At 37.6% G+C, this 24215-nt stretch overlaps 14 protein-coding genes and 1 further gene across 18 annotated transcripts in view, besides 2 other annotated features; all 15 read left to right on the plus strand.

Annotated features, from left to right (window-relative positions):
* PCDHA@ (protocadherin alpha cluster, complex locus) overlaps positions 1-24215 on the plus strand; it is a 226209-nt gene that overhangs the window by 137957 nt on the left and 64037 nt on the right.
* Positions 1-24215, plus strand: part of PCDHA1 (protocadherin alpha 1) — a 226208-nt gene that overhangs the window by 137953 nt on the left and 64040 nt on the right. The gene's annotated exons all lie outside the window — the stretch shown is intronic.
* Positions 1-24215, plus strand: part of PCDHA2 (protocadherin alpha 2) — a 217496-nt gene that overhangs the window by 129241 nt on the left and 64040 nt on the right. The window lies entirely within an intron of this gene.
* Positions 1-24215, plus strand: part of PCDHA3 (protocadherin alpha 3) — a 211291-nt gene that overhangs the window by 123036 nt on the left and 64040 nt on the right. The window lies entirely within an intron of this gene.
* PCDHA4 (protocadherin alpha 4) overlaps positions 1-24215 on the plus strand; it is a 205280-nt gene that overhangs the window by 117025 nt on the left and 64040 nt on the right. The gene's annotated exons all lie outside the window — the stretch shown is intronic.
* The window catches only part of PCDHA5 (protocadherin alpha 5), a 190735-nt gene that overhangs the window by 102480 nt on the left and 64040 nt on the right, over positions 1-24215 (plus strand). The gene's annotated exons all lie outside the window — the stretch shown is intronic.
* PCDHA6 (protocadherin alpha 6) overlaps positions 1-24215 on the plus strand; it is a 184388-nt gene that overhangs the window by 96133 nt on the left and 64040 nt on the right. The window lies entirely within an intron of this gene.
* Positions 1-24215, plus strand: part of PCDHA7 (protocadherin alpha 7) — a 178079-nt gene that overhangs the window by 89824 nt on the left and 64040 nt on the right. The window lies entirely within an intron of this gene.
* The window catches only part of PCDHA8 (protocadherin alpha 8), a 171161-nt gene that overhangs the window by 82906 nt on the left and 64040 nt on the right, over positions 1-24215 (plus strand). The window lies entirely within an intron of this gene.
* PCDHA9 (protocadherin alpha 9) overlaps positions 1-24215 on the plus strand; it is a 163966-nt gene that overhangs the window by 75711 nt on the left and 64040 nt on the right. The window lies entirely within an intron of this gene.
* Positions 1-24215, plus strand: part of PCDHA10 (protocadherin alpha 10) — a 156451-nt gene that overhangs the window by 68196 nt on the left and 64040 nt on the right. The gene's annotated exons all lie outside the window — the stretch shown is intronic.
* The window catches only part of PCDHA11 (protocadherin alpha 11), a 143391-nt gene that overhangs the window by 55136 nt on the left and 64040 nt on the right, over positions 1-24215 (plus strand). The window lies entirely within an intron of this gene.
* Positions 1-24215, plus strand: part of PCDHA12 (protocadherin alpha 12) — a 137040-nt gene that overhangs the window by 48785 nt on the left and 64040 nt on the right. The window lies entirely within an intron of this gene.
* PCDHA13 (protocadherin alpha 13) overlaps positions 1-24215 on the plus strand; it is a 130224-nt gene that overhangs the window by 41969 nt on the left and 64040 nt on the right. The window lies entirely within an intron of this gene.
* PCDHAC1 (protocadherin alpha subfamily C, 1) overlaps positions 2207-24215 on the plus strand; it is an 86049-nt gene continuing 64040 nt past the window's right edge. The window contains exon 1 of one of the 2 annotated variants that reach the window (NM_018898.5): positions 2207-5233. In NM_018898.5, the coding sequence (NP_061721.2) occupies positions 2801-5233 (2433 nt within the window). In that variant the 5' untranslated portion in view covers positions 2207-2800. Of the gene's footprint in view, positions 5421-24215 lie in introns of those variants that run through there. The other variant, NM_031882.4, reaches the window with a different exon arrangement.
* Positions 2790-3347: an enhancer, noted in NCBI's record as "H3K4me1 hESC enhancer chr5:140306467-140307024 (GRCh37/hg19 assembly coordinates)". NCBI's record gives its function as "activates a minimal SCP1, AML or CMV promoter by ChIP-STARR-seq in naive H9 embryonic stem cells {active_cell/tissue: H9 hESC(naive)}" and the evidence as "EXISTENCE:reporter gene assay evidence [ECO:0000049][PMID:30033119]".
* Positions 3909-4420: an enhancer, noted in NCBI's record as "NANOG hESC enhancer chr5:140307586-140308097 (GRCh37/hg19 assembly coordinates)". NCBI's record gives its function as "activates a minimal SCP1, AML or CMV promoter by ChIP-STARR-seq in naive H9 embryonic stem cells {active_cell/tissue: H9 hESC(naive)}" and the evidence as "EXISTENCE:reporter gene assay evidence [ECO:0000049][PMID:30033119]".

Consider the following 24215-nt stretch of genomic DNA (forward strand, 5'->3'; position numbering starts at 1 on the left):
AAATTTTCATTCCAAAGCAGTTAGCTTGCTTAGCAGCATTAATTTAAAATGAAGAAATGCACATCCTAATCTCTGGCACTGAAGCAGAAAATTAGTTTTGGTTTAGAAATTTGGTGAAGAATAAGTTCAATTTTTATGGGCTGTTTTGCATCCTGGTGAGATCTAATGAGGTCTGTACTTGTGACTACCTAATAGGCTGACATGTTTCCTCCTTTAATTTTATCTGAGACTTGGTGTCAATGATTTTTTGGTTTCTTAATTCAAAAAGGCAAACTAGCCAAGGGGTATTTACTACTTATATTGCCTTATATCACAGTGTGCCCTTTCTAGTTCCCTAGAAGAGATAACGAATGGGTTTGTGTGTTTAGGGAGGTAACTGGTTTTTAGTGGAACACTGGCATTATCAATCCCACTCTTAGTGTTAAAAAGAGAATGCCCGAGCTACCCCTCTCCCCACCATTTTAATCAGCAATTTTTAAATGTTTTCAAATATTATAGAAATATGCAGGCTGATGCCAGGTGCGGTGGCATGGGGCTCACACCTGTAATCCCAGCACTTTGGGAGGCCGAGGCAGGCCAATCACTTGAGGTCAGGAGTTCGAGACCAGCTTGTGCAACATGGCGAAACCTCACCTCTAATAAAAATACAAAAATTAACCGAGCATGGTGGTGCGCGCTTGTAGTCCTAGCTACTTAGGAGGCTGAGGCAAGAGAATCGCTTGAACCTGGGAGGGGGAGGTTGCAGGGAGCTCAGATCGTGCCACTGCACTCCAGCCTGGGTGACAGAGCAAGAACCTGTCTCAAAAAAAAAAATAAAATAAAATAAAATAAAATAAAATAAAATAAAAAGTTAAAAAAAAAATGCAAGGTGAGTGCAGTGGCTCATGTCTGTAATCCTAGCACTTTAGGAGGCTGAGATAAGATGGGAGGATCGCTTGAGCCCAGAAGTTTGAGACCAGACTGGGCAACAAAGCAACACGCTCATCTGGAAAGGAAGGAAGGAAGGAAGGAAGGAGGGAAGGAAGGAAGGAAAAAAAATTTCAAACATACACAAAAGTTGAGAGAATTGTGTAATTGACCCCAATGTACCATCACCCAGCTTCAATAATTATCGATACTTTTAGGCAGGTTTCTACCAGAAAATATGTCCTGGAAACTTTAATTCTTGATCTGTGTTCAGATTTTGCCTTTCAAATGTTTCATTATTGGGGCTTTGGACATATTGCACCTGTATTAAAAGAAGGATTTGAGTGAGGAATTTAGTGCTTCATAGTCAATAGTCAATGAGTCTCCTTTTGGCTCGCCTCCTTCTTAGGGAAAGGAACTGGTTGTAGGGTGTTAGGCAGAATTTGGGTGTATCTGTTGTGGCTCAGAGATGTTTCTCATAGAACTGATCACTGTCCCAATATCCACGCAAAAGACCAAATTAAAAGCGAGGAGAAATACCTAATGTAAATGACAAGTTAATGGGTGCAGCACACCAACATGGCGCATGTATACATATGTAACAAACCTGCACGTTGTGCACATGTACCCTAGAACTTAAAGTATAATAATAATAATAATAATAATAATAATAATAATAAAGCGAGGGTGGGTATCTAGCCTATTCTTATCCTGCCTCATGGTGTTTTCTAAATATTTACAGAAAGAAAATTTACAGAGTAGTTTCCTGGTCAAACTCTAATGAGTATCTCAGTACTTTCCCCTCCACTTCTCACGTCTTCTTTGGGGACGGGTCGTCAAGTCTTTGAGTTTCTAGTTATTGCTATTGACTGGTTTATAACCTCCTCTTTCACCCAGATCGTCAAGGGCCGTTTGCAAAGCACTCCCAAGTAGAGCCTCTTGGAGAAGGAGAAACTGCTATCACGCAAAAAAAAAGCCTTGAGCTCGCTGGCTCCGCTGCCTCGAAAAGCCAGAGTCCGGAGGCAGTTTGATGCGGACACTATTCCCCAACCTTCTTCCCCTCCTTGTCGTCTCTATTGCCCTCTTGGCAGCTCCTGGGATACAAGAGGGTGCAGGACAGACTTCAACCCGCAGCAGGATCCAGCGCGGAAAGCTCTGCAGCAGGATCCAGCGCGGAAAGCCCCCCGCAGCACTTCTTTCGGGGGGCTCCTGTTTCCTTAAGCCTAGAAGGTGTGGTCGCTCACGTTCACCGTCCCGCCTCTCGCCGCCTCCGCTCGGCAGCTCCACGCTGAGTCCCGCCCTCTCCGCCGGAGAGGTGCGCCGGGGTCAGAGCGCCGGGACCCGACGCGCGGCTCCCAAAGGGCGGCAGGAAGAGCCCAGCTGGGCTCAGCCACAGTTATCAGCAATCTGCGGGCAGAGGATGTGGAGGTTAAGATCTGGGCAGCCTCAGGGCGTTGTCCTAGAAAACACCGTTTAAGGAGAGAAGTGTTAGTGTCTCGGGGCGTCTCCCAGGCTCCGCCCTGCGCCCGCAGCCAGCGTGGTGGTCGAGACCCCAGCCCGCTGCTACTGGAGACAGCACCTCTCGCGCCCGGGCGGGCGGCCTCGTCTCTGCACCCCTAGGCGGCGCTGCGCTCCTCAACACCCGGCCGGCTCCGCTTTCCCAGACGGCTGCCCAGCCTCCAGCCTAGCAAGCCCGGCTCCCAGCTGGCCAGCCCCGGCAATGCCGGCGTTCGGGAGGCGCAACGTCGGCGGTCGCTGAGTATCCAGCCCGCAGCAGTGACGGCCGGCAGGAGCGTGCTCTTCCCCGCGGCTCGTGCTCTCCAGGAGTCCGGAGCATGGTCCTGGGTCACCGTTGGTGTAGCGTGTTGGTGGAACGTGGACGCCTAGAGGGAGGATGGTGGGCTGTGGGGTGGCAGTTTTATGTTTGTGGGTTTCCTGCGGCGCTGCAGCGGGACAGCTCGAGTACTCAGTGCCGGAGGAGACGGAGCGGGGCGTAGCCGTAGGCAATCTCTCCGCGGACTTGAGGCTGCCAGCGGCCGCTATGTCCTCGCGGAACTTTCGCTTCCTTTCCAGCCACCGCGAGCTCTACTTCGGGGTGGATCTACCCAGCGGCAATTTGGTGGTCAGAGAGCCGGCGGACCGCGAACAGCTGTGCAGGGCCAAAGCTGCCTGCGTCTTGACCTACGACCTGGTGCTCGAGGACCCGCTGGAGCTGCACAAGATTCGGATTCACGTCCTGGACACCAATGACAACTCACCTCTCTTTCCTGCCGGCGACGTGCAGCTGCACATCCCCGAGTTCCTGACGCCCGGAGCCCGCTTTACTCTCCCGAATGCCCAAGATGACGACGAGGGAAGCAATGGGATACTAAGCTACAGCCTAAGCCCCAGTCAGCACTTTCGCCTGGACATGGGATCGCGGGTTGACGGCAGCGAATACCCGGAGTTGGTGTTGGAGAAAGCACTGGATCGCGAACAGCGCGCCACCCACCTGCTGGTGCTTACAGCTCGGGACGGCGGGCTACCTGCCCGCTCAGGAGACGCACAAGTCACCATCATTGTGGTGGACACAAATGACAACGCGCCTGTATTTGAGCGCTCCGTATACCGCACCAAGGTTCCAGAGACTGCACCCAATGGGACTGTGTTATTCCGAGTTCAAGCCTTGGATCCAGATGAAGGGTCCAATGGGGAAGTCCAGTACTCCCTAAGCAACAGCACGCAAGCAGAGCTGCGACACCGCTTTCACGTGCACCCTAAAAGTGGGGAGGTGCAAGTAGCTGCTTCACTAGGTCCGCCTGAAACGCTCTTGGAGGCATACATTGAGGCGAGGGACGAAGGTGTCTTTGGTTTAGCTAGCACCGCTAAACTGCTGGTGGAGGTGACTGACGTGAACGATCATGCCCCCGAACTGGACTTCCTGACTCTTTCGAACCCAGTACCTGAGGACGCTGCCCCTGGCACAGTGATTGCTCTCTTTAGTGTAAAGGATGAAGACCTCGATTCTAATGGTAGGGTCATTTGTGGCATGTCTAGTGCAGGCCCTTTTCAGCTGACGGCTTCCTTTGACAACTACTACAGCCTGCTGATTGATGGGCCCCTGGACCGGGAGCAGATCAGTGAATACCAAGTCCTGATCACGGCCTCAGATAGTGGCTCACCCCCACTTAGCACCCGAAGGACAATCACTGTGTCAGTTGCTGATGTGAATGACAATACACCAAACTTTCCTCAACCCCAGCAGGAACTTTTCGTTGCTGAAAACAATGGCCCTGGGGCCTCTCTAGGCCGAGTGTTTGCCCAGGACCCCGACCTGGGGAAGAATGGCCTTGTCTCTTATGAGCTGTTGGATGTTATCTCTGAAGGGCCATCAGCCTCTAGCTTGCTGGCAGTGGAATCATCCAGTGGGGCCATCACTGCCAAAACTTCCTTTGACTTTGAGCAGCTCAGGGGGTTTCATTTCCAAGTAGAAGGCCGGGATGGTGGCATTCCTCCCAGAAGTGCAACAGTGACTATAAACTTGTTTGTGGTAGATAGGAATGACAATTATCCGGTTATCTTGTTTCCCTTGCCCAGAAATGGTTCTGTCCCAGTGGAAATTGTGCCCCGCTCTGCCAGGACTGGACACTTGGTCACAAAAGTGGTAGCAGAGGATGCTGACAGTGGTTCTAATGCCTGGCTTTCCTACCACATCTCCCGGGCGTCTGACTCTAGTCTCTTTAGAATTTCAGCCAATATAGGTGAGCTCCGTACTGCTCGCTTAGTTCTTCCCACTGATGCAGTTAAGCAGAGGGTGGTGGTAGTGGTTCGGGACCATGGAGACCCACCACTTTCCTCCTCTGTCACTCTGGGTGTGCTGTTGAGCAACTCTGTCCCTCAGTTACTTCCAGACTTTGAAGATGTCTGGGAACCAGGAGGGCAGCTTTCTGCCCAGAACTTGTATTTAGTAATTGCCTTGGCTTGTATTTCCTTTTTATTTCTGGGGTGCTTACTTTTCTTCGTGTGTACCAAGTTGCACCAGAGCCCAGGCTGTTGCGCTCAGAGCTGCTGTCGCTCTACAGAGGATCTGAGGTATGGAAGTAAGATGGTTTCAAATCCTTGCATGACATCAGCCACCATAGATGTCACTACAGTTGAGAGACTTTCTCAGACTTATCTCTATCGGGCCTCTCTGGGACTTGGTTCTGATAATAACAGTTTGCTGTTGCGTGGGGAGTACAATGCTGCCGACCTGCGAAATCTTGCCACTGGGGTAGGACTGAATTTGCCAATATCCTGTATTCAGATTCGGAATAGGAAAGGGGATCACGCTAATGTCAATGCCATGGTAAGCAAATTTTATGGAATTTGATTCCTTTGGCCCGGAGATGGCTGCTAGCTGTGTTTTGAAATATTTCTTAGACAAGCCTTTCACAACATTTCATCAATTGAACTAAACACTCCTTCTTAGCACTTCCTGTGCCAAGAAATCTGGAAGTATAGAAGTATTAGAAGATTGCCCTAGGCCTCAAGGGACTTATAGTTTATTTTTGAGAAACAAGGGCAAAAATTAAAACCTATTTAAGAACAATAAAAGTAATATGACATAAAGGTCTAAAATTAAAAATAAAATACCAAAATATTTTATAAGCAACAGATGTGTAAGGCACTCTAATATTTAAAGTGAAGAATGAAAAATATGTAAGAGTCTGCTTTATATGAATATAATATGGAAGGTGAAACATTTACTTAAACTATTGCAATGCATTATTAAAAGATGACGATAACCACAAAAGATGTAAAAATAAATTACAATGGGGGTTAAAAGAAGGGAGAAAGGGAACATAAGAGAACATTTGAGTGAGGAGGAAGGAGTCAGAGAAGGCTTTGTGATAGAGATCACAGATTTAGTTGGATCTTTAATACGATATACCATTTAATAAAAAACAGTGTATTCTCTAGCCTATACTTTTAATGAATACCATTTTGGTGAAGGTGTCTTCTTTGGGAATGACACCCTAAAACATAGCTGATAGCTCCATAGCAGTGTTTTGTAACTGCTTTGGAGTTTTTGCTTACACAAAAACTGTAAGCCTCTCTCATAACATCTATTTATACTGATAGGAGATCATATTGTTGGATATAGGACTTGACAACCTTTTGTTTTGTGTTTCTATTGATAATATTTTACAAAGAGGAAAGATGAGTAATTTTTATGTCAGAAATATTTATGTGTTCAAAGGTGCACTTACCATCCAAAGTCCATTCAACTTGGATTTAATTTCTTTTATTTTAGGGGACAAATACACTTAACAAATAAGTAAATATCATATTTGAGAGTAATGTATCTAATGAAAGTTAAGTGATTCAAATATTTCAATTTATCTGTTAGTGGCCCTTGGCATTTCAAAACTTCTTTTTTTTTTTTGAGACAGGGGTCTCACTATGTTGCCCAGGCTGGTCTCAAACTCCTAGCCTCAAGTGATCCTCCCACCTAGGCCTCCCAAAGTGCTGGGATTACAGGCATGAGCCACTGCAGCTGGCCCTCAAACTTCTTGAGTGCAGTTAGGACAACATTTTGAAGCAATTCTACGGTATTACTTTTTGACTTCTCATAGAAATCCTAGATGCAAGAGAAGGAGGTGTGTAGAAATTAAGGAAGGAAAATGAAGCATTCCTTGTTTTACTATTCTAGGCAATAAGGGGAAAAGTGGCTTGTAAGTTATTCTTCCTCAAGTAATGATGTTAACTGCAAATAAAATAAATTTACATATGTTAAAATTTTCTGTACTTAATATTTTCACAATATAATAGAATCCAGCATATAAGATATGCTTAGTAAATGCTGACTGAATGAATAAATATGTGCATATATGAATTGGATGGTAACACTGTTCAACACAGAGGGAAAAACTTTAACTTACTTTTCTACTTTAGATGTGTATATGTGGTTAACAGTTTAAAGGTCACTTTCAAATGTACTGTTTCAATGATTATTTTCTTCCTCATGACCTACACTAATAACATAACAGAGGAATTTTCTGATTGTAGAGCTAGCAAGAAAAACTTCAATGCTGTGTCTGGGACTAAGTATGAGTCCAGTTCTACAGATGACAAAGGAATTAATAGGTATGCACATCATTACATTGTGATATTTGCAGTGGATACTATTTAATAGAATCTCAGTTAATTTTAGGGAAGGAAATTGGTGCACTACAATGCTAGTATTTCAGGTATCAGAGCACTTAATATGTGAACACTTTTCCTACCAAGAAATTTCACTATTTATTTCTTTTATTTTCATTGCTTTCTGTAACAAAAAGAGAGGAGAATACCAGTAATGGCTGTAAAGTTTGGGAGTGAGGAATTTTTTTTAGAAACACATTTTCACTAGACTAGAAAGGAAACATAAGTAAGCGATAGGAAGGCTGATGAATCTAGAAGTTAGAAGGAAAATTAGCTATTTAAAAGGAAAAATATAGGAATGACAGAGGAAAAAACAACCCTTCAAACCAAATTTTTAAACATATATGAATGATTAACAAAATAATAGAGATATACTGTTCATATGTGCAGGAATATTGTACCATCCCATTCATTCAGTTGAACAGTCTTTTTCCATCATTGTTGATATTTTGCTTTTTAGGTAGCTCATTGGTCTGCTAATAATTGTTGTGGGCTGGATATTTCCTTATAAATAAATGAATTGTGATTCATAAAACCATGAATAAAATAACTTCTATAAATATGGGGTATTTGTAATTCACAAAGGCATTTGTTATTTACTTCTTCCTGTTCAATTACCTATTGATCTGATCTTAATTCTTTAGAAAAGAATTCTTGTCATAGTATCCTGAATGCCTTAATAACAACAGGATTCTAGAAATAAAATATTTATTGCTTTCATTTTATTTCAAATCATTTGAAAAGCATGACATTTAACAATGATTATAATGTGTGTCTGAGTCTTACAGAATCATGTTGATGCATATGTGTTTATATTTTGCTCAAATTCTAAGTTCTTTCATTTTAGTTTACGGTAAGTTTACAGTATATATTAACATAGCCTGTAATACTAAAAATTATCAGTTTAAGAAATTCAGGAAAACATGGTTTTTATCTCTGTATTTCCAATTGATAATATTTAAGATATAAACAAAATTGATTCACTGATTGTATAACAATTAGACAATGTGTACCTCATGTCCATTTTTTTCTGTTAATATTCTTGATGGGCAATTTAAATTTTTTAGAATGGTATCTAAGAGGGTACCTCTGAGATATAAATTTCTACTTATTAAAAACTGCATTGACAATTTTTAAAGGTATAAATATATTAATGTAGCAAAAATGCATGAAACACTTACCATACAACTGGCCTTATTAAATTTCCACATGAAAGTTATACATAGTTTCAACATACCAATGTTATATTAGTGTATTGTTCACCTGGAATTAAAGCATCTTCTTTTTTGCCAGGGTATATAGGAAATAGGATATCTCCTCTTTGCAATGTCATTTGTTAACAGTAGTAGAATGTTTGTGGCATTCAAGGTGCTTTATTTAACATACATTCCACAAGTAGACTTTCCCATAGGGTAATTAGATGTTTTGTATATCTATTTTGACTTTGAAGCTGATAACCACACTAAAAAACTTTAGAATGATGAAACTAAGGAAGTTTGCATGACATATGAAATATATTCAAATTAAAAAACTCATATAGACAACACAATAATATTGTATAATATAGACCCTCAAATCAGTAAAAAGGAAAGAAAAAGAACATTATAATTTGAGTGGACATAAGAGAAAAGCAATACCTTGGAAACATATAAGTGGGAAAGTATTGACAATGTGTCTCATAATGTTAATGACTTATTGTCTTTTGTTGTCTTCAATATTTTCAGTTAGAGGGAAACAATAATATTTCAACAACTAAATTAACTTAGCTAGGTTGGAATGAAGGTGGACTAAATTGCTGAAAGGTTTTTACAATGCTCAAATGCATGTCATATGAATATCGGAAATATTAACACTTGGCAGAACTTCAAGTGAATATGGATTACAGTCCAGGATCCTGACTAAAGTATTATGGGAAGTAAGGAATTTGTTGGTAAAGGTTGTTCTTAAGAAACAAAGCTAAATAATAAAGGTAGATAGCCACTCATTTTGTTCCCAATTTTAATTGATGGCATAAGATAATGGTTCAGGATATAAATAAATTACATGTCTGTTATATTGCATTTATGAAAAAGAAAGGACTATAAACACAAAAGGTTATTATATATTCATTTGGAACTTGTTTTGGAATCTGGAAATAAATATGCAATCTCGTATTCTCCTGTGCTGTAGAGAAAGATAAACACTTTATTTCTAACCCATCCCAAATTCCTTGGCTGTTCCTAGAGCCATCTGGTTACCATCTACAGATATTCTGTGTTCATAGGGGCACTCTAATGACATACCTTCAAAATATACTCTGAATTCAAACACATTATGGTTATTCTTTAGAATTGTTAAGCAAAGACTACAGCTGTTTTGTTTAAACTCAAAATAATGTTAATATAAAATAAAAACCAATTAAGAAGTCTTAATAGTGGGTTTTTAGGTTGATTTGTCTTTTTCTTTTCTTATTAGGTTAGGCTGGCCCTGTTAAACAAGTTGGAAATCCTGTCTCTCTCTCTGTCTCTCTCACATTTTTTTTCCTATTCCTCGGACACATTTACTGAGATTGGTGATACAGCTTTCTTAAATATTTGGTAGAATTCACTAGTGAAGCTCTCTGTACCTACAGTTTTCTTTGTAGGAAAATTTTAATTGAGATCAAATTTCTTTGTATTTTTATTGCTCCTATTTCATTCCTGTACCTTTAATTTTTTCAGATATATGTTAGTTTTATCTGTACTTTTGAATATTTTGGCATAAAGTTGTTTATAATGTCCTGTTGTGACTTTTTTTCACATCTGCAGGATCTGTAGTGATGTTTCCCTTTTCAATCCTGGTGTTAGTGTCACCTCTCATTTTTCTTGACTAGACTTGGAAGTAGTTTATTAATGATATTAGTCTTTCCAAGGCTAACTTTTGGTGTTTTGGGTTCGCTTTGTTGTATGTTTGCTTTCTATTTTATTAATTTTCATACTTTATTAATTTATTTCCTTCCTTATATGTTTATATTTCAGTGTGCAACAGAAGTACTCTAAACATACTTTTCATTTCTATTTCCTCACACAAAATGTTTAAAAGATTTGTACTTAATTGTGGAGATTTATCAAAATTAATAATAATCAGTGCTTCATCAAGGGCATTCTTACTGGTATTTTTCTTACTGCAAATGTCCAATCATGAATGTAATAACCACCAGTACAGTGTGGAGCCACTGCTTTGACTCCTTCTGTGGTTCTATGGTGGCCAGCTTTACCCACCAATGCTTTTGCATTATCAATGCAAGTGTAAATATAGTGAAAAATGCAAATAATGTTTTAACATTATTTTGAAAATTATATTCACCTCATAAACACCCAAAGGGTCCATAGACCACACTTCGAGAGCTACCGTTCTAATTCTATCATTTCTTCTTTTTTTTAATTAATTGTAACATTTCTGTAATGGGTCTTCAACTATTTGATTAGCCTGAGGTACAGTTCACACAGGAAAGGCAGGATAAATGTTTGATTCTTCCCCTTTGTTTAGCAGTATTCAAAACAATGAATTGATTCCTGGCCATCTTACAAAAAGGACCAAGGCCTTTTTTAGGTGTCATTATGAACTCATTGACTTAAACATATTTGATATGGCCCAATCCATGTCAATTATCTTTTTAATGATCAAATTATGCTAACTTTGGCAAGTTGGGAACTGTTCAGCTTTGCTCCTGAGTCTTTGTGAGTGTGTTTGTGTATCTTGTTTTAAACCTTTTATTTTGGAATAATTATGGATTCACATAAAGTTACAAAACTAGTATAGAGAGATCCCATGTGCTTGTCACCCACTTTTCCCCAGTGATAACACCCTGAATCCTTTTCATGTGAGTCTTAATAGTCTTTTGAATGCTTCCTTGATTTCTGGTATTACAAGATGTTCAGATTATCTTGTACATTTCCTTTCCCAGAATCAGCCATTTTTCAAAGAGCTTTCACTTATTTTTAGTGAAAGATGATACTTAGAGATATAATCTCAACAACAGGTGTGCTTATTGCTGCTGGGTCAGTTGCTGTTTCTAGGTATCTTCAGCTACTGAGCTAAGGGATGTCTATTTTTTAAAAGATAAAATACATCACATGTTTATACTAATCTAATAAAGTTCAGCACTCCGAGGTTTTTACTTAACTTCATCAATCTTACATTCCTATTTCTCCCATACGTCAAATCCCAGTTTTCATTAACGTCAACAGAATTACTCATTTGTTATCCCACGGGACTCAAACAATGGACTTAGAAAACAATTTCAGCACTACAGAAATAATATGATACTGTAGCAGTTTAAGTTTTTGTCATTCTTTTCATTTATAAGGCACATCCTTACAAATGCCCAGTAGGCATGTACAGTCAAATTATTGTGTTTTAAAGTATCTTGGAAAAGTTCCTCTCTGTGTAGTTAAGCCACCAGCTAGATACAGAGCTAGGCTTTTTTCAAGTCGCTTTCAAATTTAGGGCTTGCTTTTTAAATTTTAATTTTCTTTTATAATTATGTGAAATATTTACATGGCTCCAAAATAAACTTATAAAACAAAATATATTTAGAGAAGTCTAGTATCTATTATTCCATACAATACACATTCTTCCCCACTTTGAGTTTTTTCACTTAAAAATATAAACGAGATTATTTCATAGTAGTATAGTATTTACACATATTCCATACTGCTTAATGGTGTCTTTTGATTAGCAATTAATGAGCTCCAATTTATCAATATTATCTTTTTTTTTTTTTTTTGAGACAGATTCTCATTCTGTTGCCCAGGCTGGAGTAAAGTGGTACAATCTTGGCTCACTGCAATCTCTGCCTCCCGGGTTCAAGCGATTCTCCCACCTCAGCCTCCCGAGTAGCGGGGATTACAGGCACCCACCACCACACCCGGCTAATTTTTATACTTTTAGTAGAGACAGGGTTTCACCATGTTGGCCAGGCTGGTCTCGAACTCCTGACCTTAAGTGATCTGCCCGCCTTGGCCTCCTAAAGTGCTGGGATTAGAGGCCTAAACCACCACGCCCAGCCAAAGTTGTCTTTTTTATTTAGTATTCTTTCTATCCTTTTAAAGAAAACATATCCTGCTTCAAGTCATGAAGATATATTCCTGTGTTTTCTTCTATAACATTGCTATCCAATAGAACTTTCTGACATGCTATAAATTTTCTCTATCTGCATATATGGAATGTGTAGCTACTGAGCACTTGAAATGTGGCTAGTGAAACTGGGCTACTCAATTTTTAATGTTACTAATTTTAATTAATTTAAGCTTAAATAACCACATCTGTTTAGTGGTTGCTGTAGTTCTGGAAGCTTTCTTGTTTTAACTTGCACATTTAGATCTTAAATTACCTGAAATTGCTTTTGAATATAGTGCAATGTAGAAGTCAAGATTTATATTTTCCACTTGTAAATCCAGTTAGATTGCCTACTTTCCTCGCTGCTACTGTGCAGTGCTACCTTTGTCATAAGCAACGTGACTTTATATATTCTGTTTCTGGACTGTCTATTCTGTTTCATTGGTCAACTTGTCTATTCTTGTGCCAATACATTCTGTGTTAAATATAGTAACTTTTCATTTGTATTGATATCTAATTGTGTAAGTTCTCTCACTTTGTTATTCTGCTTCAAGATTAACTTAGCTATTTTTGGCCCTTTGCATTTCTATATAAATTGTAGATTCAGCTTCTCAGTTTCTATTTTAAAAAACCCTGCTTTGATTTTAATTGGCACTATATTGAATCTGTAGAAAATATGGGGTATATTGAAAATATCTTATTTTGATCTTTATTGAATCTATAAAAATATGAAGCTTGTTAACATTGACAATATTGAGACAGACAACCGATTAACAAGGTATATTCTTCCATTTATCTTTTTTTTTTTTTTTTGAGACGGAGTCTCGCTCTGTCGCCCAGGCTGGAGTGCAGTGGCGCAGTCTCGGCTCACTGCAAGCTCCGCCTCCCGGGTTCATGCCATTCTCCTGCCTCAGCCTCCCGAGTAGCTGGGACTACAGGCGCCCGCCACCATGCCCGGCTAATTTTTTGTATTTTTTGTAGAGACGGGGTTTCACCGTGTTAGCCAGGATGGTCTCGATCTCCTGACCTCGTGATTCACCCGCTTCGGCCTCCCAAAGTGCTGGGATTACAGGCGTGAGCCACCGCGCCCGGCTTCTTCCATTTATTTTATTATTTTATCTTAATGTTTATGTGTGTGTATGTGTATATAGGGGTATTGCACAACTTTTATTAGATAGCTGATATTTTAATGCTATTTTAAAAGTTTAATTTTATAATACAAAAATTAGCTGGACATGTTGGCACATACCCGTAATCCCAGCTACTCAGGAGGCTGAGGCAGGAGAATTGCTTGAACCTGCGAGGCAGAGGTTGCAGTGAGCTGGGATCGCGTCACTGCACTCTAGCCTGGGCAACAGAGTGATACTCCATCTAAAAAGAAAAAGAAAGGCAGGGCATGGTGGCTCACGCCTGTAATCCCAGCACTTTGGGAGGCTGAGGCAGGCGGATCACGAGGTCAGGAGATCAAGACCATCCTGGCTAACACGGTGAAACCCCGTCTCTACTAAAAATACAAAAAATTAGTCGGGCGTGGTGGCGGGCGTATGTAGTCCCAGCTACTCGGGAAGCTGAGGCAGGAGAATGGCATGAACCTGGAAGGCGGAACTTGGAGTGAGCCGAGATCGCGCCACTGCACTCCAGCCTGGGCGACAGAGTGAGACTCCGTCTCAAAAAAAAAAAAAAAAGTTTAATTTGATAATTGGCTTTTGTTGAAAGTATATAGAAATAATACTGATTTTATGTTAACTTTGTATCCAATGTTCTTGCTAAATAGTAAAATCTCATATTTTTATATTTTGGGTTTTCTACATATACTGTCATGCTATTCCCAAATAATGTTAGTTTTATTATTGTATTTTTTACTTTCTCTCTTTTTTTAAAAAAATAGAGATAGAGTCTCACTACATTGCCCAGGCTAGTCTGGAGCTCCTGGGCTCAAGCAATCCTCCCACGCCAGCCTCCCAAAGTGCTGGGATTACAGGCATAGGCCACCATGCCTGGTCTTTTAAAAACTTTCTAATCACATAGTTTTCTTGCTTTCTGTCATTGCCTATGAAATTCAGTATAAAATTGAATAGAAGTAATGTTAATGGATAATCTTGTCTTATTCCTGGTCTCAGAGAGGAAGTTTTTAAATATTTAATATGAAATACATTGTTTGATTGGGTTTATTTGCAAAAATCCTTTATCAGATTTATTAAGTTCCCTTTGTTTTTTAATTTATTATGTTTTTTAAAAATCATGAATAGGCATTGAATTTATCACATATTTTCTGTTATTGAATGGATAATATGGATTTTTATCCTTTTATTAATAGCATGCATTATATTGGTTGATTTGTTAATGATAAACCAATCTTGCATTCTTGGAATAAACTCAGGTTGCTTATGATGTATAATCCTTCTTTATATCATTAGACTTAGTTTCCTAACATTTTCTTTACAGTTTTTAAATATATGTTTATGATAGAAACGCGTTTCTACAGAAAAAAATAATTATTTTTAAAGGCATAGTTATTGGGTACTAGACTTAGTACCTGAATGATGAAATAATCGGTACCACAAACCCCTGTGACATGAGTTTGCGTTATAACAAACCTGCCCATGTACCCCTGAACTTAAAAGTTAAGAAGCAACACACACACACACAGATGCGCACACACACACACGCACAAGAAATTGGCTTTTAACTTTCCATTCTTATAATGCTCTAGTCGGAGTTTGGCATCAAGGCTATCCTGGCTTTATATAGTAAGTTAAGAAGTGTTACTTTTCTTTTACTTATTCGGAAGAGTTGTCTTAGTCCATTTGGGCTGCTATATCAAAATAGCATAAACTGGGTGGCTTAAAAACAATAGAAATTTATTTTTCACAATTCTGGAAGCTGGAAAGTTGATGATCAAGGTCCTGGCAGATTTGTGTCTGGTAATGGCCCACTCCCTGGTTCATAAAACAGAATGTCACCTTCTTGCTGTCTCTTCACCTTCTGGAAGGAGCAAGGTAGCTCTCTGGAACCTCTTTTATGAGAGCTGTGCCCTCGTGATCTAATCATCTCTACAAAAGCCCTACCTCCTAATATCATAATCTTAGGGGTTAGCATTTCAACTTATGATTGCAAAGGAGGAGGGAACACAAACATTCAGATCATAGCAAGTTTGTGTAAATCAGCATTTTTTTCTTCCATAAGCATTTGAAGAATTAAGAGTGAAATTTATAGGCCTAGAATTCTCTTCATGAGAATGTTAATTATAAATTCAATGTCTATAACATTAATAGTTATAGAATTATACAGAGCCTCTATTTCTTGTTGTATTAGTTTGGTTAATCAAAATGGAAAATTTTAACATACCTTGCTCAAAAACAGAACAAGGAGACAAAAGAAAATCAATAAGGGTACTGAAAACTTCAATAACAGGAATAACCAACTTGTATGTATGTGTGTGTTGCTGGACATTATCATTTGTGAGATACATTTATATTGTTGTGTGTAGCTGTGTATCATTCATTGTCATTATATAGTATTTCAGGGTGTGAATGGTCAATTTCTATAAATGTTCTGCATGTTCAAGAAAAAGCAGTATTCTGACATTGCTTGTTGTTGTGTTCTGTATATGTCCATTAGGTCATCTTTGCTAGTTGTGTTGTTCAAATATTCTGCATTCTTTTTTATTCTTTTTGTTTGCTTATTTTATCAGTTACTGAGAAAATTATGTTAAAGTGTTCCACGATGAATAGTGAATTGTTTCTCCTTGGATTTTGTCAATTTTTTGTGTCATATGTTTTAAGGCTATTTTATTTTATTAGATTCTTAACCAAATATAAATATGTGATATCTTTCTGCTAAATTGAAACTTTTAGCGTTATGTATTATTTACCTCTATTTCTGCTAGTGATAAACTATTATAGTTTTTGTTTGCCTGAAATGTCATTCTTGATAGATATTTTTACATGGGTGTAAAATTCAAGATTGGCATTTATTTCATTTTGGTACATTAAAGTTACCTCCTCAATATCTTCTGGGTTCCACTGTTGTCTCATTGTGCTGCTTCATCAGTAATTTATTATCTTTCTTCCAATTTTACTAATTTTGTCTTCTTGTGTGTCCAACATGCTATTAAAAGTATTCCTTGAGTTGTTAATTTTGGTTATTGTGTTTTTCATTTTAAAAATTATAATTATTACTGATCAAGTCTGCCATGATATTTTTTATAGGTTTCTGTTCCCTGCAATTTTTTTTTTCAAGACAAGTCTTGCTCCGTCGCTCAGGCGTGATCATAGCTCACTGCAATCTTGAATTCCTGGGCTCAAGTGATTCTCCTACCTTGGCTCCCAAAGTGTTGGGATTTCAGGCATGAGCCGCTGCTCCTGGCTCCTGCAAATATTCTTAAGCTTGTCATTTATTTATTTAAATATATTAAATCTTCATCTGATAATTCCAGAGTCTGAAGTCTGCAAGTGTATACCTGCTGTGTGCTGTTTCAGCTGGACAGCTCCATATTTTTATGTGTGCCAACTTTTATTTGACTTTTGATGGTCCATATCCTGAAAATGATATTTGCCAGGATATCCTGAGATCTTGGATGGAAATACCTTTCTTCACGATAGATTTTTATACACCTTCCAGTGAGTGAATACTACTGCTAGTAAACCACTTTAAATCAAGTTCAAGACTTGAAGCTCCTTGGCTACTTAGACTACGTATTCTCAGATAAAAATATGCAGGATATCTGGTATCTAGTTACAAGTTTATAGGATTAAATTTTCCTTTCCTATTTTCCTTCTGGCCTTTTTGGTGCCAAGTCAAATTCCCCAGCAGTTTTCTGGGCTGGAGAGTAGGTGGGTTTAGTTTTCACATACTATTACTGGAAAGATTAGTCCTTTGAAGTTCCAGCTTAATGTAGTTTGGAGGCCCCATAAGACTCCCCATCTTGAACATCCTGCTTCTTTTTTTTTCTTTCTTCCTTTCTTTCTTCCTTTCTTTCTTTCTTTCTTTCTTTCTTTCTTTCTTTCTTTCTCTTTCTTTCTTTCTTTCCTTCCTTCCTTTCTCTTTCTTTCTTTCTTTCTTTTTCTTCTTTCTCTTTTTTTTTTTTTTTCAGATGGAGTCTTGCTCTGTTGCCTAGGCTGGAGTGTAGTGACAGGATTTTGGCTCACTGCAACCTCCGCCTCCCGGGTTCAAGCAATTCTCTGCCTCAGCCTCGGGAGTAGCTGGGATTACAGGCGCCCACCACCACGCCTGGCTAATTTTTTGTATTTTTAGTAGAGACGAGGTTTCACCATCTTGACCAGGCTGGTCTTGAACTCCTGACCTCGTGATCCATTCGCCTCAGCCTCCCAAAGTGCTGGGATTACAGCCATGAGCCATGGTGCCCAGCCCATCCTGCTTCTTAATTTCTGTCTTCCTACAACTTATGTCCAATTTTATGTCAAGTTCAATATTCTGTTTACCTCTTTGGGCTTAGCTTTCCTCCACAATTTGTCCTAGCAGTTCCCCATTATCTTATCAGATTTTCAGTGCTTTTAAGATAATTGTTTTAATGTTTTACCCAAGAATATTTAGTTGATTTCAGTAGGATGACTGCTGTAAATAATTTAGGCTGCCATTACCTGATATTCCCTATCATAGAGTTCTATCACCAGTGACTAGCATCTAAGTAACATTGAAATGCTTTTATGTATATCTTAAAATATTTGAATTACTTTTGTTTTGAAAACAATAGTATCTTTACTTTCCCTAAACCTTGATAAGGGATTCATATCTCTTATTATTAATTTTGGGAAAAAATAATTCATAAACCTGGTCTATTATGAAATGTTTGCTAATTGAGCCAAGAGAGCACATGCATTCATCTAAAACATTCATATAATCAAACTTTATTAAAGGTGATATTTGTGGCTTTACTTGACATAAAACAGCTTCCATATTTCTCTATTCCAGACATTTTATTTAAAATACATTTTTGAGCATAAGATATTTAAAATGTGTAGGCAAATAAGATATCCATATCATTAAAAGATATCTAAAGCTGGTAATGGTGGCTCATGCCTGTAATCCTAGCTACTTGGGAGGTCGAGGCACAAGAATCACTTGAACCAGAGGGAGGCGGAGGTTGCAGTTAACGGAGATTGCACCACTGCATTCCAGCCTGGGCGACAGATGAGACTCTGTTTAAAAAAAAAAAAGATATCTAACAATAAACAAGTAAACTATCAATTATAATACAATCAAATTCAAGCTACAACTGAAATAAATACATGGTATCTAGGAAACTCAGAGGGGAAGCAACTAACTCAGTATGGTGGGGGGTAGGGGGTTGAGGCAGAAAAATCTTCCCATATAGGATGTCACATATAATTATAGTGTTTATATTTGCCAATTGTAAAAAAAAAAATGGCAAAAGAGATCTCATTCAGAAAAGCAATAAGCACAAAAGTTTTAGGAATAACTTTAATGAGAAATATGAAGTAAAAGTATGAAATTTTGTTGAAAAATATTTTAAAATCTTGTATAAATGAGATGGCATAATGTATTTTTAGGCAGAATATTACAAAGGCATGTTTTCCACAAACTAGTTGGATTTGGCCCTGTGTCAATAAAAATTCCAGTAAGATGATTATTTTGCTTTAGCATGACAACTTTTTTCCTAAAATTTATCTCTAAGAATAAGCGTGAAGAAAAAAAAAATTGAAAAAGAGTTTAAAGTGTAGACGTTCTGTTATCAGAATTAAATTTTGGGGCTGGGTGTGGTGGCTCATGCCTGTAATCCCAGCACTTTGGGAGGCTGAGGTGGGTGGATCATTTGAGGTCAGGAGTTCAAGAACAGCCTGACCAACATGGTGAAATCCTGCCTCTACTAAAAAATACAAAAATTAGCCAGGTGTGGTAGTGGGTGCCTGTAGTCCCAGCTACTCTGGAGGCTGAGGCAGGAAAATCGCTTGAACCCTGGAGGTGGAGGCTGCAGTAAGCCAAGATCATGCCACTGCACTCCAGCCTGGGTCACAGAGTGAGACTCTGTCTCAAAAAAAAAAAAAAAAAAAAGAAAGAAAGAATTAAATTTTGGGAAGTCATTATTAGCAATATTGTGTAGTATCCATTGGACAGGATGAGAGTAGAGGAAAGGAGATCATTAAAATATACAGGTAAGAAATTATGGATATTTAAATTCAGACTAGAGGCAAGGGCTTTAATATGATATAAAGGATAGAATTGATAAGGCTAAATGTGGGAGATACAGTAAAATAATAAATAGATGCTATCAAGGTTCATGGAAATGTTGAGTTCAGTATGCAAAATGTCATGTAAATAGACGTAGACAATAATCATTTTAATTTGTTGATCTGAGTGGGGCTGAATTCTAAATATAGACTTTGATTCATCTGCATAAGGAAGCTGGATTATGGATAAAACCATCTATGAACAATGTATAAAGTGTGAAAAAAAGGGATAAGGTCAAAATATTGTGGAACACATTTAAAGGTCTGAGAGAATGAAAGTCCACAGTCTAAAAGCAGTAGGAGATGTAGGAAAAAAACTAGGAAGTGGTCCTTTATGCAAAGCAAAAGAGGAAAGTTTGAAGAAAATGAGTTGATTGAAGTTGTAAGATGTCACAGAAGTCAAGAAGAGGTCTCTGAAGTGTTCATTGGACTGGTCATTATGATGTCATGAGCACTTTAGCATGAGCAGCTTTAGAAGTGTGGTTATAGGAGAAGCAGTGAATTAAAGAGTTAAAGTAATTAAGAAAACAGAGACAGAACTACTGAGTACCCCCCAAAAGCAATTATCTTCAAAATATGGAAAACCAGATTGGGATACAAAAAGGTTTCTTGTTAAAGATAAAGGAGGCCTGAGTAAGTTTATATCTCATGGGAAAATGGTACCAGAGAAGAAAAGGTTGAAGATTAGAAGAGTTGAAAATTAAAGGGCCAAGGCTGGTTTTTTGTTGGTTTGTTTTGTTTTGTTTTGTTTTTAAAGAGGGTTTTACTCTGTCGCTCAGGCTGGAGTGCAGTGATGTGATCACTGCTCACTGCAGCCTTGACACCCCGGGCTCAAGCGATCCTCCTACCTCAGCCTCCTGAGTAGCTGGGATTACAAGCACGTGCCACCACACCTGGCTAATTTTTAATTTTTTATAGAGATGGAGTCTCACTGTGTTATCCAGGCTGGTCTCGAACTCCTGATCTGAAGTGGTCTGCCTGCCTCGGCCTCCCAAAGTGCTGGGATTACAGGTATGAGGCACTGGACTGAGGCTTCTTAAATGGTGGCAAGGAACATATTTTGTGCTTTAAATGATTTAAGTATTTAAAGATCATAGTTTTCCTGGCAACTTACTGTAGAGATCACTTCAGAATTTCCCTGGGTAGAGTAGTGTGCTGTAGAAGTATAGTGTTGTAAGCCAGTGTGGATTGGGAGTCCATACCCCTTATTTATCTATTCTGTGTATCCTATTAATAACAGTAATTATCAGGTTATTTTGCCTTTGAACACCTTAGTAAGTCTGAGCATTTACATGGAAAAAATGCTGGGTTTATTCCTCCTGTTATTGTATTTTACAAGTCTGTCGAGGGTCCACAGTGATCTTTGCCCCATAATTGTAAAATGAGATATTAGAATCATCCTTATTTATCTTAACCACCTACTCCACTGTACAGTTCCTATAATTCCACAAACTTCTCTTTATATTGGTTTATGCCTTCTTTAGATGATTGTGAATAAGAGTATTATCTTAACCTCTCTGGTGGGTCTACTTCTGTAACGGTTGTGGGTCATGAATTATTTTTTACTCAGACATAATTATCTTTGGTCTTATATAAAGAAAACCCTACAGACTCCACCAAAACACTCTTGGAACTAATAAACAAAATAAAGTTGAAAGATAAAAAATCAACTTACAAAAATCAATAGCATTTCTATACACTATTGAACTATCTGAAAAATAAATCAAGAAAACCATGCTATTTACAATAGCTATGAGAAAATAAAAATACTTAGGAATAAATTTAACCAAGAGGATGAAAGACCTGCAAGTTGAAAACTTTAAAACATTGATGAAAGAAATTGAAGAAGACACAAATAAATGGAAATATATTTTATGTTCATAGCTTGGAAAAATTAATACTGTTTAAAATGTCCATATTACCCAAAGCAATATACAAATTCAATACAATTCGTATCAAAATTTCAATGAAGTTTTTACAGAAATATAAAAAACTTCCCTAAAATTTGCATGGAACCACAAAACACCCCAAATACCCAAAGCAATATTGAGCAAAGTAAATAAATAAATAAAACAAAACATACAAACAAAAAAATGAAGCTGAAGACATCATACTACCTGGCTTCAAAATATACTTCAAAGCTATAATAATCAAAACAGCATGGTACTGGCATAAAAGACATGTAGACCAATGGAGCAGAATACAGCTCCCAGAAATAAATCCACACAGTTACTGTCCACTGATTTGCAACAAAAGTATCAAGAATATACAATGGAAAAAGGACAGCCTCTTCAATAAATGGTGGTGGGACAATTTGATATCCAGATGCAGAAAAATGAAACTAGACCCTTATCTCACACTGTATACAAAAGTCAACTCAAAATGGATTAAAGACTTAAACATAGACCTGAAATTGTAAAACTAACAAAGAAAACACAGTGGGAAAGATGAAAGATCAATAACACTGATCTGAGCAATGATGTTTTTTATATGACCCTGAAAGCACAGGCAATAAAAGCAAAAATAGACTAATGGATTGCATCAAACTAAAAAGCTCCTGCGCAGCAAAGAAAACAAGAGTGAAGGGACAATCCACAGAATGGGAGAAAATATTTGCAAACCACAGATCTGATAAGGAGTTAACATACCAAATATATAAGGAACTCAAACAACTCAATAGTAAGAAAACAAATAACACGATTTAAAAGATGGGTAAAGGATGTGAATAGACATTTCTCAAAAGAAAGCACACAAATGACCAACAGGTATACTAAAAAATGCTCAACATCATGAATCATCAGAAAAATGCGAATTAAAACCCCAATGAGATATCACCTCACACCTGGTAGAATGGCTATTATTGAAAGAGGAAAGATAACAAGTGATGGAGAGGATGTGGAGAAAAGGGAACTCTTGCACACGGTTGGTAGGAATGTAAATTAGTACAATCATAGAAAACAATATGGAGGTTACTCAAAAATTGAGACTAAAACAACTATCCAGCAATCCCACTACTGGGTATATATCCAAAGGAAATGAAATCAGTATGTCAAAGACCTATCCGCACTCCCATGTTCATTGCAGCATTATTCATGATAGTTCAGATATAGAATCAACTTAGGTGTTCATAGTGGATGAATAGATAAAGAAAATGTGAAATATATATATATATATATATACAATGGAATACTCATCAGCCATTAGAAAGAATGAAATCCTGTCATTCGTGACAATATGGATGAATCTGGAGGTCATTATGTTTAGTTAAATAAGCCAGGCACAGAAAGACAAATACTGCATGATCTCATTCATGTGGAATGTAAAAAAGCTGATCTTATAGAAGCAGAGAGTATAACAGTGATTACCAGAGATGGGTAGGGCAGTAGTAAGGAGGAGAGATTGAGGAGAGGTTGGTCAATGGGTACGAAGTTACAATTAGATAGGAAGAATAAGTTCTGGTGTTTTATTGAACAGTAGAGTGTAGTTAAGAATAATGTATATTTCAAAATATTATAGAATAGAGGATTTTGAGTGTTCTAACTTCAAAGAAATGATAAATGTTTGAGGTAATGGATATACTAATTACCCTGATTTGATCATTACACAGTGTATATATGTATTGAAACATCAGACTGTAGCCCATAAATAGGTACGTGTCAATTAAAATAATAAAAATAGTAAAATGTATAGTTACTTCCACGGGGTAGAAAATGTGGTATATATTCATGGTATACTACACAGCCTTAAAAAAAGAAAATCCTGTCATTTATGACAGGAAAAAAAAATAAGATAATCCAATGTACCATTTGTTGAAAATACTTTTTCTTTTTATTGCATTATCTTGACATCTTTGTAAAAAGTCGGTTGACCATAAATGTGTGGGCTTAATTCTGGACTCTATTTCACTCCTTTGATCTATATGTTTATCCTTTCACTAAAAGTAGACTGTCTTGATATTGTAGCTTTATAAATTTGAAAATCAGCTGTGAAATCCTCCAACCTTGTTCTACTTGTAAACATTGTTTTGGCTATTATAGGTCATTTAAATTTTCATATAAATTTTAGAATCAACTTTTCAATTTCTACAAAGAATTCCGCTGGGATTTATATTGGGAATGTTTTTAACATTTAGATCAATTTAGGGAAGATTTGGTATCTTAACAATATTGAGTCATCAGATCGTATGAACATATATACCTCCATTTACTTGGGTCTTTAAAAAATTGTCTCAGCATGTTCTGTAGTTTTAAGTATTGAGGTTTCAAAAGTTTTTTGTAATACCTATTCTTATGTATTTTATGGTTTAAAAAATTCTATTGTAAATGGATTTTAAACAGACTTTTAATTTGCAGAGACTATTTCTTCCTTTCCAATATTAATATTTGTTTATTTATTTTGTCATTATAATGGCTAGGACTTCCAGGACAATATAAACAGAAGTGGTGAGAGCAGACATTCTTGCCTTAACCCTGATCTTATGAGAAAAGTGTTCCATATTTTACAATTAAGTATGTGCTACTCATAGGTTTTTCCCAAATACTTTATTAAATTTAGGAAGTACCCTTTCTGGTTTGCTCAGAGTTTTATCATGATTCATTGTTGAATTTCATCAATTTTCTTTTAATCTATTGATATGAGCATATGATTTTTCTTCGTTTTACTAATATGTTGGATTACACTAATTGATTTTTGAATGTTGGAAAAAACCTTCCATTCCTAGGGTAAATCCCACTTAGTCATGATATATTATCTTTTCAAACATTGTTAGATTTAACTTGTATTTTAGTAAATATTTTTACATCTGTGTTCATGTAGAATATCTGTAAATAATTTTGTAAAGAATATCTTTTCTTC

This window comes from Homo sapiens, chromosome 5 (assembly GCF_000001405.40).
Source record: "Homo sapiens chromosome 5, GRCh38.p14 Primary Assembly".
Taxonomy (NCBI): Eukaryota; Metazoa; Chordata; class Mammalia; order Primates; family Hominidae; genus Homo; species Homo sapiens.